Source organism: Homo sapiens, chromosome 12 (assembly GCF_000001405.40).
Source record: "Homo sapiens chromosome 12, GRCh38.p14 Primary Assembly".
Classification (NCBI taxonomy): domain Eukaryota; kingdom Metazoa; phylum Chordata; class Mammalia; order Primates; family Hominidae; genus Homo; species Homo sapiens.
In genome coordinates, this window is record NC_000012.12 from 110,598,209 (window position 1) to 110,610,476 (window position 12,268).

Genomic DNA, 12,268 nt, shown 5'->3' on the forward strand with positions numbered 1-12,268 from the left:
AGGAATGGGGAATTATTGTTTGATGGGTACAGAGTTTCAGTTTGGCAAGATGAAAAAGAATTCTGGAGATGGGCTGTGTTGATGGCTGCACAACAGTGTGAATTGTACTTACTACCACTGAACTGTACACCTAAAGATGGTTTCTGAAATTTTCTGTTATATATATTTTACCACAATTAAATCTTTTTTTTTTTCTTTTGTAGATGGAGTCTCGCTCTGTCACCAGGCTGGAGTGCAGTGGCACAATCTCGGATCACTGCAACCTCCGCCTCCCTAGTTCAAGCGATTCTCCTGCCTCAGCCTTCCAAGTAGCTGGAATTACAGGTGCACGCCGCCATGCCCAGCTAATTTTTTATTGTATTTTAGTAGAGACGGGGTTTCACCATGTTGCCCAAGCTGGTCTTGAACTCCTGAGCTCAGGCAATCTACCCACCTCGGCTTCTCAAAGTGCTAAGATTACAGGTGTGAGCCACCGTGCCCAGCCAAAGTTTTTCTTTAAAGTGTGAGTTGTTAGAGGATTAGGCAAAGGGTCGGTGTGGCCAAAGTGTGTAGGGAATGATGGGGAGGTAGAAAATGAAATTAAGAAGGTGGGGAGAGGGCCAGATGCGGTGGCTTACGCCTGTAATCCCATCACTTTGGGAGGTGGAGGCAGGCGGATCACCTAAGGTCAAGAGTTTGAGACCAGCTTAGCCAACATGGTGAAGCCCTGTCTCTACTAAAAATATAAAAATTAGCTGGGCGTGGTGGCAGGCGCCTGTACTCCCAGCTACTTGGGGGACTGACGCACGAGAATCGCTTGAACCCAGGAGGTGGAGGTTGCAGCGAGCTGAGATCGCGCCATTACACTGCAGCCTGGGCGACAAGAGCGAAACTCTGTCTCAAAAAATAAAAATAAAAATAAAGCATGACTCATTCAAATATAGAATGGAGGGCTCGGCATGGTGGCTCATGCCTGTAATCCCAGCACTTTGGAAGGCTGAGGCAGGCAGATAATTTGAGCCCCAGAGTTCGAGACCAGCCTGGGCAATAAGGTGAAACCCTGTCTCTACAAAAAATACAAAAATTAGCAGGGCATGGTGGTGTGCGCCTATAGTCTCAGCTACTTGAGAGGCTGAGGTGGGCAGATGGCATGAGCCCGGAGGTGGAGGTTGCAGTCAGCCAAGATTGCACCATTGTACTCCAGCCTGGGTGACAGAATGAGACCCCATCTCACACAAAACAAAAAACAAAACAAACAAATATAGAATTGACACGTCAGAAAAGTATTCTACTTGTCTAAGAGGAAACAGTCGGATGGTGAAGTTGGTTCAGAGAATGTTTTGAAGAAGTAGGTACTTGAGGAAGTGGGAATTTTAGATACAAAACTGGTTAATCTTCTGCAGGGTAATAAGAACTATAAGCTATGGGATTCTCTTTTGTACTGGAGAGAAATAATTCAAAACTCTACTGGACAAGGCCAGGAACAGTGGCTCATGCCTGTAATCCCAGCATTTTGGGAGGCCGAGGCAGGCAGATCACTTGAAGTCAGGAGCCTGAGACGGTAAAACCCCATCTCTACTAAAAAAAAAAAAAAAAAAAAATTAGCTGGTGGAGCATGCCTGTAGTCCCAGCTACTCGGGAGGCTGAGGCAGAAGAATTGCTTGAACCCAGGAGGTGGAGGTTGCAGTGAGCTGAGATCATGCCACTGCACTCCAGCCTAGGCAACAGAGTGAGACTCCATCTCAAAAACAAAAACAAACAAAAAACAACCAAAAACTGTACTGGACAAAAATCTGGGCCTTTAATCAATCAATACCTATGCAAACAAAGGAACAGTCCCTGGCCTATATAAGTAGTTGGTGGGCTACATCTGGCCTGGCTGCTTGTGTTTGTAATAAGATTTTAATTTTATTATTTTTAAAAATAAGAGATGGGGTCACACTATGTTGGTCTTGAACTCTTGGCCTCAAGCAATCCTCCCGCCTCGGCCGCCCAAAGTGCTGGGATTACAGGTGTGAGCCACCATGCCCGGCCTAAAATACAGTTTTATTGGAACACAGCCATACCCAATTATTTCTGTATCTCCCCAGGATGCTTTTGCTGTACAGAAATGGTGGACCATGATGACCGATAGAGTTGAGTAGTTGACAGATAGGAACCAGCCACAAAGCCTAAAATATTTACTACCTGGACCTTTACAGAAAGAGTTTGCTGATCCCTGCTAGAGAATTAAGTAATCTTTGGGTGAGCTTGTGAAACAAAGTCCTTGATGACATTGAAAGAACTACACTGCCCTCTCTTGGTCTTATTTCCAAAATTTGGATAATTTTTCTTAAAAAGGAGATGTTTGGTTTAAAAATTGGTGGGGCATTTTGAATTGTTATCCGTGGTCTGTATTTCCTAAATCTTCCCGTTCACTCACCCCATAACCCTGCCACCCTCTTTCTACATTGGCGACAATGCCTCTTAGTATCTGTCAAACTTGCATAACGAGATTTAGAAAATATGATTAAGTACAGAGTTTATTCAAGTGCAAGGTTTGAGGATGATCACCTGCGAAACACATACTCCAAAGGAATGGGATCAGTGTTGGAAAGAGAGGAAGCTAAGGTTTCACTTATATAGATAGAAACAGTTGCAGCTGAGTTGCAACATTTTCCATCCAAGGCCCATATGTATGTTACAGTCATTTGATTAAAACAGCTTGCTACATTTCAAGGAAGATGCTTTAACATTCTATGAAGAGGAGTAATGTCCTGAGAGGGTCTTATCTCTGGTGCTAGTGGGTCATTTCTTTCTTTTTTTTTTTCTTGAGATGGAGTTTCCCTCTGTCATCCAGGCTGGAGTGCAGTGGCGTGATCTTGGCTCACTGCAACCTCCGCCTCCTGGGTGCAAGTGATTCTCCTGCCTCAGCCTCCTGAGTAGCTGGGATTACAGGCCTGTGCCACCATGCCTGGCTATTTTTTTTTTTTGGTAGAGACAGGGTTTCCCCATGTTGGTCAGGCTGGTCTTGAACTCCTGACCTTGTGATCTGTCTGCCTCGGCCTCCCAAAATGCTGGGATTACAGGCGTGAGCCACTGTGTATTGCCCAGGCTTGAGTGCAGTGGTGCAATCTCAGCTCACTGCAACCTCTGCCTCCTGAGTTCAAGCAATTCTTCTGCCTCAGCCTCCCAAGTAGCTGGGATTACAGGTGCCCACCACCACGCCCAATTTTTATATTTTTAGTAGAAACGGGGTTTCGCCATATTGGCCAGGCTGGTCCCCAGCTCCTGATCTCAAGTGATTTGCCTGTCTTGGCCTCCCAAAGTGCTGGGATTACAGGCGTGAGCCACCGCACCCGGCCTACTGGGTCATTTCTAATCATTTACAGGACAAGCAGAAGTTGCAACTGCATACTACATGGCCACATTCCTCTCAAGGCTCAGAAGAAAGTTCCAGCAGCTTTAAGTTTGAATTATTTAATTTAAAATATCCCAGCTCTTGGCTGGGCACGGTGGCTCACACCTGTAATCCCAGCACTTTGGGAGGCCGAGGCAGGTGGATCACCTGAGCTCAGGAGTTCGAGACCAGCCTGCCAACATGGCAAAACCCTGTCTCTAATAAAAATGCAAAAATTAGCCAGGCATGGTGGTGGGCGCCTGTAGTCCCAGCTACTCGGGAGGTTGAGACATGAGAATCATTTAAACTTGGGAGGCAGAGGTTGCAGTGAGCCTATATTGGGCCACTGCACTGCAGCCAGGGCAACAGAGTGAGACTCCATCTCAAAATAAATAAATAAATAATAAAATAAAATATCCCAGCTCTTTCCTCTGAGGGTGGAACTTATGAAAGGCTCTTTTTAAGTGCAGGTAGGCCTGGAAAGCAATTGGTGGTGAGTAATGTCCTTTGCAACATCGTTTTTGCTCGAGAAGGCATTCTGTTTCTGACTCCTGTTAAGGCTTCTGTAACTGAAGGCCCATTCTCATGGAAGCTTTCCTTGGGAGGGCCCCTCAGCTCCTTAGAATGAAGCTCTAGAACTGTTGGAAGTTCTGAGAGGGCAATGCTGGTGCCTGCTTGACCACTGCTGTTTCTGGGTCCGGGCACATAGTAGGTGCTCAGTAAATATTTGTTGAGTGAACTAGAGCCAATGAAAGAATAGCATTTTGTCCTCTGCTCCGGGTCAACCCTGTGAGAGGAACCAAGTTTTGGTGACAAAGGCTGCCATCTGCAGGGAATAGGTGAAATGGCATTATTCAGAATTGCTAAATCCTGAGGACCATACAATCGATTTTGAGGCAAGATTAACATATATTTTCTCCTTTCGCTTTCTGGAGAATTAACATCATCTTGTCTTTTCCAATTAAGGAAACCTGAATCCTGCACCCTTTCTCAAATAACATTTTTAAGCTTTTATTTATTTATTTATTTTTTAAGACGGAGTCTTGCTCTGTCACCCAGGCTGGAGTGAAGTGGCGTGATCTCGGCTCACTGCAACCTCCGCCTCCCGGGTTCAAGCAATTCTCTTGCCTCAGCCTCCTGAGTAGCTGGGACTACAGGTGTGTACCACCACGCCCGGCTAATTTATTGTATTTTTAGTAGAGACAGGGTTTCACCGTGTTAGCCAGGATAGTCTCGATCTCCTGACTTCATGATCCGCCTGCCTCGGCCTCCCAAAGTGCTGGGATTACAGGCGTGAGCCACCAAGCCTGGACAGCTTTTGTTGTCTTTTAAATGGAGACAGGGTTTTGCTCTGTCACCCAGGCTGAAGTGCAGTAGCATGATCATAGCTCACTGCAGCTTCCAACTCCAGGGCTCAAGCGATCCTCCCATTTCAGCCTCCCGAGTAGCTAGGACTGGTGTGTGGCAACACATCTGGCTAATTTGTTTTTGTTTTTTTGTGGAGAAAGAGTCTTGCTATATTGTCCAGGCTGCATTTTAAAGCTTTTTGAGGGCTTAGTTAGCCATGCTGCATACTGTATACACCATGCTGTATGCACAAAACTGGTACCTAAGTACCACTATTTCCCTGTTTTATAGACGAAGAATCTGAACACAGAAAGCATGCCCAAAGTTATAGTGCTAGCAAGTGGCAGAACTAGGGATTTGAACCCAAACACTGTGGCTTCAGAAAGTGTGCTCGTTTTCTCTTTTCTTTTCTTTCCTTCCTTCTTTCTTTTTTTTTTTTTTTTTAAGACAGAGTCTCACTCTGTCACCCAGGCTGGAGTGCAGAGGCAATCTCAGCTCACTGCAACCTCTGCCTCCCGGGTTCAAGGGATTCTCGTGCCTCAGCCTCCCAAGTAGCTGTGACTACAGGCGCCCGCCACCAGGCCCCAGTAATTTTTGTATTTTTTAAACATTTTTCAGTAGAGAAAGGGTTTCACCATGTTGGCCAGGCTGGTCCGGAACTCCTGACCTCAAGTGATCTGCTCGCCTTAGCGTCCCAAAATGCTGGGATTACAGGCGTGAGTCACTACGCCCGGCCCAGTAGACCTTTTTTTTTTTTTTTTTTTTTGAGACAGAATCACACTTTGTGGCCCAAGCTGGAGTGCAGTGGTGCGATTTCGGCTCACTGCAACCTCCACCTCCTAGGTTCAGGCAATTCTCCTGTCTTAGCCTCCCAAGTAGCTGGGATTACAGGTGCACACCACCACGCCCAGCTAATTTTTTTGCATTTTTAGTAGTGACGGGGTTTCACCATGTTTGCCAGGCTGGTTTTGAATTCCTGACCTCAAGCCATCCGCCCGTCTTGGCCTCCCAAAGTTCCAGGATTACAGGTGTGAGCTACCGTGCCTGGCCTAGATCTTCTTTTTAAAAGCAGTTTTAGGTTCACAGCAAAATTGAGCAGAAGGTACAGAGATATATCCCCTGGATCACACAGGCCTAGCCTCCCCCATTATAGAATCTGTGCTTCTAATCATTTCACTATATTATCTCTCCATGCCTGATAGGAAAATATTTACATAAAACATATAGAAACATGGCAGATTGAGCCCATGCAGTTATCTCTGCTCTCTCCTGAAACACTCCTAAAATACTAGCAAAGGAATCAAAGAGGTATAAACCCACAAAGAGTGGGAGAAGACTGCTCATGAGAGATCTCAAATCCTTTTTAGAAGATAGAATGTAGATGAGTGGTTTACTTGGGAGGAGAAACCCTAGTTCTTGCAGGAGTTGCCAATGAGTAGCAAGGCACTTAGAGCTGATAAACCCCAGAAAGGCTCAGGAATTGGTTGAAGGCCCCTGTGCTGAGAGGTGGGACTGAAAACCAATAATTGATTGAATATAAATACCATCTGGGGGAAGCGTTAGACCCCTGATTCTCCTCCTTGTCACTCCCTAACCCCAATCTCTGCAGAAGATGAGATGCTTATTCCCTGGAGAACTTGAACCAGAGAAGTTCTGGGTCCAGGGATAGCAATCAGAGAAAACACTTGGAGGCGAGGCAACATCCTAAAAACAGAGGGATTAAATGAAAGTGTGCAGGCTGGGCACGGTGGTTCACGCCTGTAATCCCAGCACTTTGGGAGGCCGAGGTGGGTGGATCACCTGAGGTCGGCAGTTCAAGACCAGCCTGACCAATGTGGAGAAACCCCGCCTCTACTAAAAATACAAAAATTAGCTGGATGTGGTGGCAGGCGCCTGCAGTCCCAGTTACTCGGGAGGATGAGGCAGGAGAATCTCTTGAACCTGGGAGGTGGAGGTCACAGTGAGCTGAGATCATGCCACTACACTCCAGCCTGGGCAACAGAGTGAGACTCTGTCTCAAAAAGAAAGTGTGCAGCTAAAAACATTCTTAACATATTTTAAATAATCCTATGGTTGTGTGGTAGTATTGGTATCATTATTCTGTATTATTAGTATTGTTATTGGTATTGTTATTCTCTTTTTTTTGGGTGGAGGGATGGAGTCTTAATTGGAAGCATCAGTATGATGGATTTTATCTTGAAGAATACGTATTTCTGACCAGGGGCAGTGGCTCACGCCTGTAATCCCAGCACTTTGGGAGGCTGAGGTGGGTGGATCACTTGAGGTCAGGAGTTTGAGGCCAGCCTGGCCAACATTGTGAAACCCTGTCTCTACTGAAAATACAAAAATTAGCTGGGCGCTGTGGCATGTGCCTGTAATCCCAGCTACTTGGGAGGCGGAGGCAGGAGAATCGCTTGACCCTGGGAGGTGGAGGTTACAGTGAGCAGTGAGCCGAGATGGTGCCACTGCACTCCAGCCTGGGCAACAGAGAAAGACTCCATCTCAAAAAAAAAAAAAGAAAACAAACAAACAAAAAACGGCTGGGCGTGGTGGCTTACGCCTGTAATCCCAGCACTTTGGGAGGCCAAGGCGGGTGGATCACCTGAGGTCAGGAGTTTGAGACCAGCCTGACCAACATGGTGAAACCCCGTCTCTACTAAAAATAAAAAATTAGCCGGGAGAGGTGGTGTGTACCTGTGATCCCAGCTACTCAGGAGGCTGAGGCAGGGGAATCGCTTGAACCCGGGAGGCGGGGGTTGCAGTGAGCCAAGATCACGCCTTTGCACTCCAGACTGGGCAACAAGGGTGAAACTCTGTCTCAAGAAAAAAAAAAAAAAAAAAAAGAGGAAGAAGAAGAAGAATTCACTAACAGGCTGCCAGTAGCCAGTAAAAAGTAAGTGAAAGAGGAACTATCTGCAGGTCCCGAGGAAAGAATGAAAACATATTTACAACACAGAAACAGAAATAGCGGTGGAGGAGGAGAGAGCAGGGTCGCTCAGTGGGACCAGGAAGCCAGCTTACTTTCATTTTTTGAAGCTCCTTATATACAGAAAAAACAAATTTATTTTTTCATTTCACATTTGACAAATACTTTCAGCACCCCAAGATTAAAATGTAATGTAGATGTGCTGTCACCAGGTGATTGGATTTCTTTCTTTCTTTTTTTTTTTTTTTTGAGACGGAGTCTCACTCTGTCATTAGGCTGGAGTGAAGTGGTGCGATCTCAGCTCACTGCAACCTCCGTCTCCCAAGTTCAAGTGATTCTCCTTGCCTCAGCCTCCCAAGTAGCTAGGATTACAGGTGCCCACCACCACGCCTGGCTAATTTTTTTGTATTTTTAGTAGAGACGGGTTTTCACTATGTTGGCCAGGCTGGTCTCAAACTCCTGACCTCCTGATCCACCTGCCTCGGCCTCCGAAAGTGCTGGGATTACAGGCGTGAGCTGCCGCGTTGGGCCGTGATTGGATTTCTTAAAAGCCAGTTAATGAAACTGCAAGCAGAAGCCACCATACACCTATCAGAATAACTAAAAACAAAAATGAAAACAAAGGTGGCCATCCTAAGTGCCCGTGAGCATGGGAAACTGGGACTCTCATACCTTGTTATTGGGAAGGCAAATGGGCCAGTCACTTTGGAAAAAACTGGGCAGTTTCTTATATATTTAAACACATACTGACCATAAAACCCAGAAATCTCACTCCTAGGTATGTATATAAGAGAAATGAAACATATGTTTTATTTTTAACCACCAAAACCTAGAAAAACCCAAATTCCTTCAACTGATGAATGGATGGATAAATTGCAAAGGAGCCATTTTTGTAATACTTGCCACCAATAAAAAGAATGGACTGGGGCCGGACGTGGTGGCTCATGCCTGTAATCCCAGCACTTTGGGAGTCCAAGGCAGGTGGATCACCTGAGGTTGGGAGTTCAAGACCAGCCTGACCAACATGGAGAAACCTCGTCTCTACTAAAAATACAAAATTAGCTGGGCATGGTGGCACATGCCTGTAATCCCAGCTATTCGGGAGGCTGAGGCAGGAAAATCATTTGAACCCAGGAGGTGGAGGTTGCGCTGAGCCAAGATCATGCCATTGCACTTCAGCCTGGGCAACAAGAGCGAAACTCCATCTCAAAAAAAAAAAAAAAAAAAAAAGAATGGACTGGGCCAAGCACGGTGGCTCATGCCTCTAATCCCAGCACTTTGGGAGGCTGAGGCAGGAGGATCATTTGAGGCAGGAGTTTGAGATCAACCTGGGCAACATAGTGAAACCCCGTCTCTACAAAAAATTGTAAAAAATAAAAAAATAATGAACTGAAAGAAATTTTTGCATATATGGCTAGAGGAGTTTCAACAAGCATGCCAAGACTACACAATGGAGAAAGAAGAGTCCCTTCAACAAATGGTGCTGGGAAAACTGGAAATCACGTGCAGAAGAATGAAGCTGGATCCTTACTTTATACCAGATAACAGAAATAAACTCAAAATGGATTAAAGAACTCAAAATGTTAAGACCTCAAAACTCCTAGAAGAAAACATAAGGGAAAAGCTTCAGGATACTAGATTTGGCAATGATTTCTTGGATAAGACACCAAAAGCACAGACAACAAAAGAAAAAATAGACAAATGGAACCACATCAGAGTAAAAACTTGTGGATATCAAAGGTAAAAATCAACAGAGTGAAAGGCAACCCAATGGAATAGGAGAAAATATCTGTAAATCACTTATCTGATAAGAGGATAATTTCCAGAATATATAGGGAACTCCTACAACTGAACAATGATAATGAACAACCCAATTAAAAAATGGGCAACTGACTTGATAGACATTTCTGCAAAGAACATATACCAATGGTCAACAAGCACACAAAGAGATTCACAACATCACTAATCATTAGGGAAATCAAAACCATGAAATATCAACTTATACCCATTAGGATGATAACTATCAAAAGAACAGAAAACCATAAGTGTTGACAAAGATTTAGAGAAGTTGGGATGCTTATGCACTGTGTTTGGGAATATAAAATGGTACAGCCATTATGGAAAACAGCTAATTTTTTTACTTTCATAGAGATGGGGTCTTGCCAATGGCCCAAGCTGGCCTATTAACTCCTGGCCTCAAGTGATTCTCCCGGCTTGGTCTCTCAAAGTGCTGGGATTACAAACGTGAGCCACTTTGCCCACATGTTCTACATCTTTATTGTGGTTGTGGTTAATGTGACTGTATGTGTTTGTTAAAACTCATAAAACTAGGCTGGACATGGTGGCTCATGCCTGTAATTCCAGCACTTTGGGAGGCCAAGGCGGGTGGATCACTTGAGGTCAGGAGTTCAAGACCAGCCTGACCAACATGGTAAAACCCCATCTCTACTAAAAATACAAAAAAAATTAGCTAGGCATGGTGGCACATGCCTGTAATCCCAGCTACTTGGGAGGCTGAGGCAGGAGAATTGCTTGAACCCGGGAGCCAGAGGTTGCAGTGAGCTGAGATTCTGCTATTGCACTTCAGCCTGGGCACAAGAGCAAAATTCCGTCACAAAAAAACAAAAACAAAAACAAAAAAACTCATAAAATTGAGCCGGGTGTGTGGCATGCACCTGTAGTCCTAGCTACTCTAGAGGCTGAAGTGGGAGGATCCCTTTAGCCCAGGGGTTCAAGGCTGCAGTGAGCTATGATTGCACCACCTTACTCCAGCCTGGGCAACAGAGTGAGACTCTGTGTCTACCCAAAAATAAAAATAGAAAAGGAAAGAAGAAATATTCATAGAATTGCCCACCAAAGAAACCTGTACCCTGATGTGTAAGAAAAACCTTACATCAAAACTATTACACAAAAAATATATACTGCATATAAATTATCCCTCTATAAACCTAAGAAGAAAGAAATGTGGAGCAAGCATGGCAAAATGTCAATTTCTGAATAATCTTGGAGGAGTACACAGTGGCCTTCTTTTCTGTGCCTTTTATCCTGTTTGGAAAGTTTCTTTTCTTTTCTTTTCTTTTTTTTTTTTGAGAGAAGTCTCGCTCTTGTCCCCCAGGTTTAAGTGCAATGGCTTTATCTTGGCTAACTGCAACCTCAGCCTCCCGGGTTCAAATGATTCTCCTGCCTCTGCCTCCCAAGTAGCTGGGATTAAGGCACCTGTCACCACGCCTGACTAATTTTTGTGTTTTTTAGTAGAGACGGGGTTTCACCATGTTGGCCAGGCTGGTCTCGAACTCCTGACCTCAGATGATCCGCCTGCTTCGGCCTTCCAAAGTGCTGGGATTACAGGTGTAAGCCACCGTGCCCGGTCCCTGTTTGGAAAATTTCAATCTGAAAAGAATAAAAACAAAAATGATTTTTTAGAAAGCCGAGTTTATTCAAACTGCAGTCTGGTTCAATAATAGGATGCAAGGTTAAAACTGTATGGTAAGCTGGGTATGGTGACTCATGCCTGTAATCCCAGCACTTTGGGAAGCTGAGGTGGGTGGATCACTAGAGGTCAGGAGTTTAGAGACTAGCCTGGTCAACATGGTGAAACCCTGTCTGTACTAAAAATACAAAAATTAGCCAGGTGAGGTGGCAGGCATGTGTAATCCCAGCTACTTGGGAGGCTGAGGCAGGAGAATCACTTGAACTGGGAAGGTGGAGGTTGCAGTGAGCTGAGATTGGGCCACTGCACACCAGCCTGGGCAAAAGAGTGAGACTCCATCTCAAAGAAAAAAAAAAAAAAGAAACCCAAAAAGAAAAAAAAATAACAACTGTATGGTAAACAAGGAATTCTTATTTCATTCCTGTTGGTGAATGTCTGTGACTGTATGTATGACTTTCTTTTAGAAAAGGTCAAATGCAAATGTGAGACCTTTCAAGAATGTGAAGTCTGCTCAAATAGTCCTTCTGTCCCCGTAATGTTTCAGAAAACACTTAAAGAACAAGAATAGGCTGGGCGCGGTAGCTCACGCCTGTAATCCCAGCACTTTGGGAGGCCGAGGCGGGTGGGTTACTAGGTCAGGGGTTCAAGACCAGCCTGGCCAAGATAGTGAAACCCCGTCCTACTAAAAATACAAAAATTAGCCAGGCATGGTGGCGGGCACCTGTGGTCCCAGATACTTGGGAGGCTGAGGCAGGAGAATTGCTTGAACCTGGGAGGTGGAGGTTGCAGTGAGCTGAGACCGCTCCACTGCACACTAGCCTGAGCGACAGAGCAAGACTCCATTTCAAAAAAAAAAAAAAAAAAAAAAGAACAAGAATAGTACTCAGTGGTTGATGAGGTACGTGGGGACTGGGAGAATGAGAGCAGTTGAGGATTATTTTCTTCTGGGCGTTGATCTGGAAATCAATTACCCGACTAGTTACTTCAGTCAAAATGGTACAGCCAATCCTCCGTCTTCACACAGTCTTGATCCCTTTGTAGATCTAAAGCAACCCCTTTAGGAAGCTTTGTGACTCTGCCACCTCATTTGTGAAATGTTTGGGAGAGATTAATAAAAATAGATATACTAATCACTAGAAAAAAATTTCTACTTTTTCTTTTGAGACAGGGTCTCACTCTGTTGCCTAGGCCAGACTGCAGTGGTGTG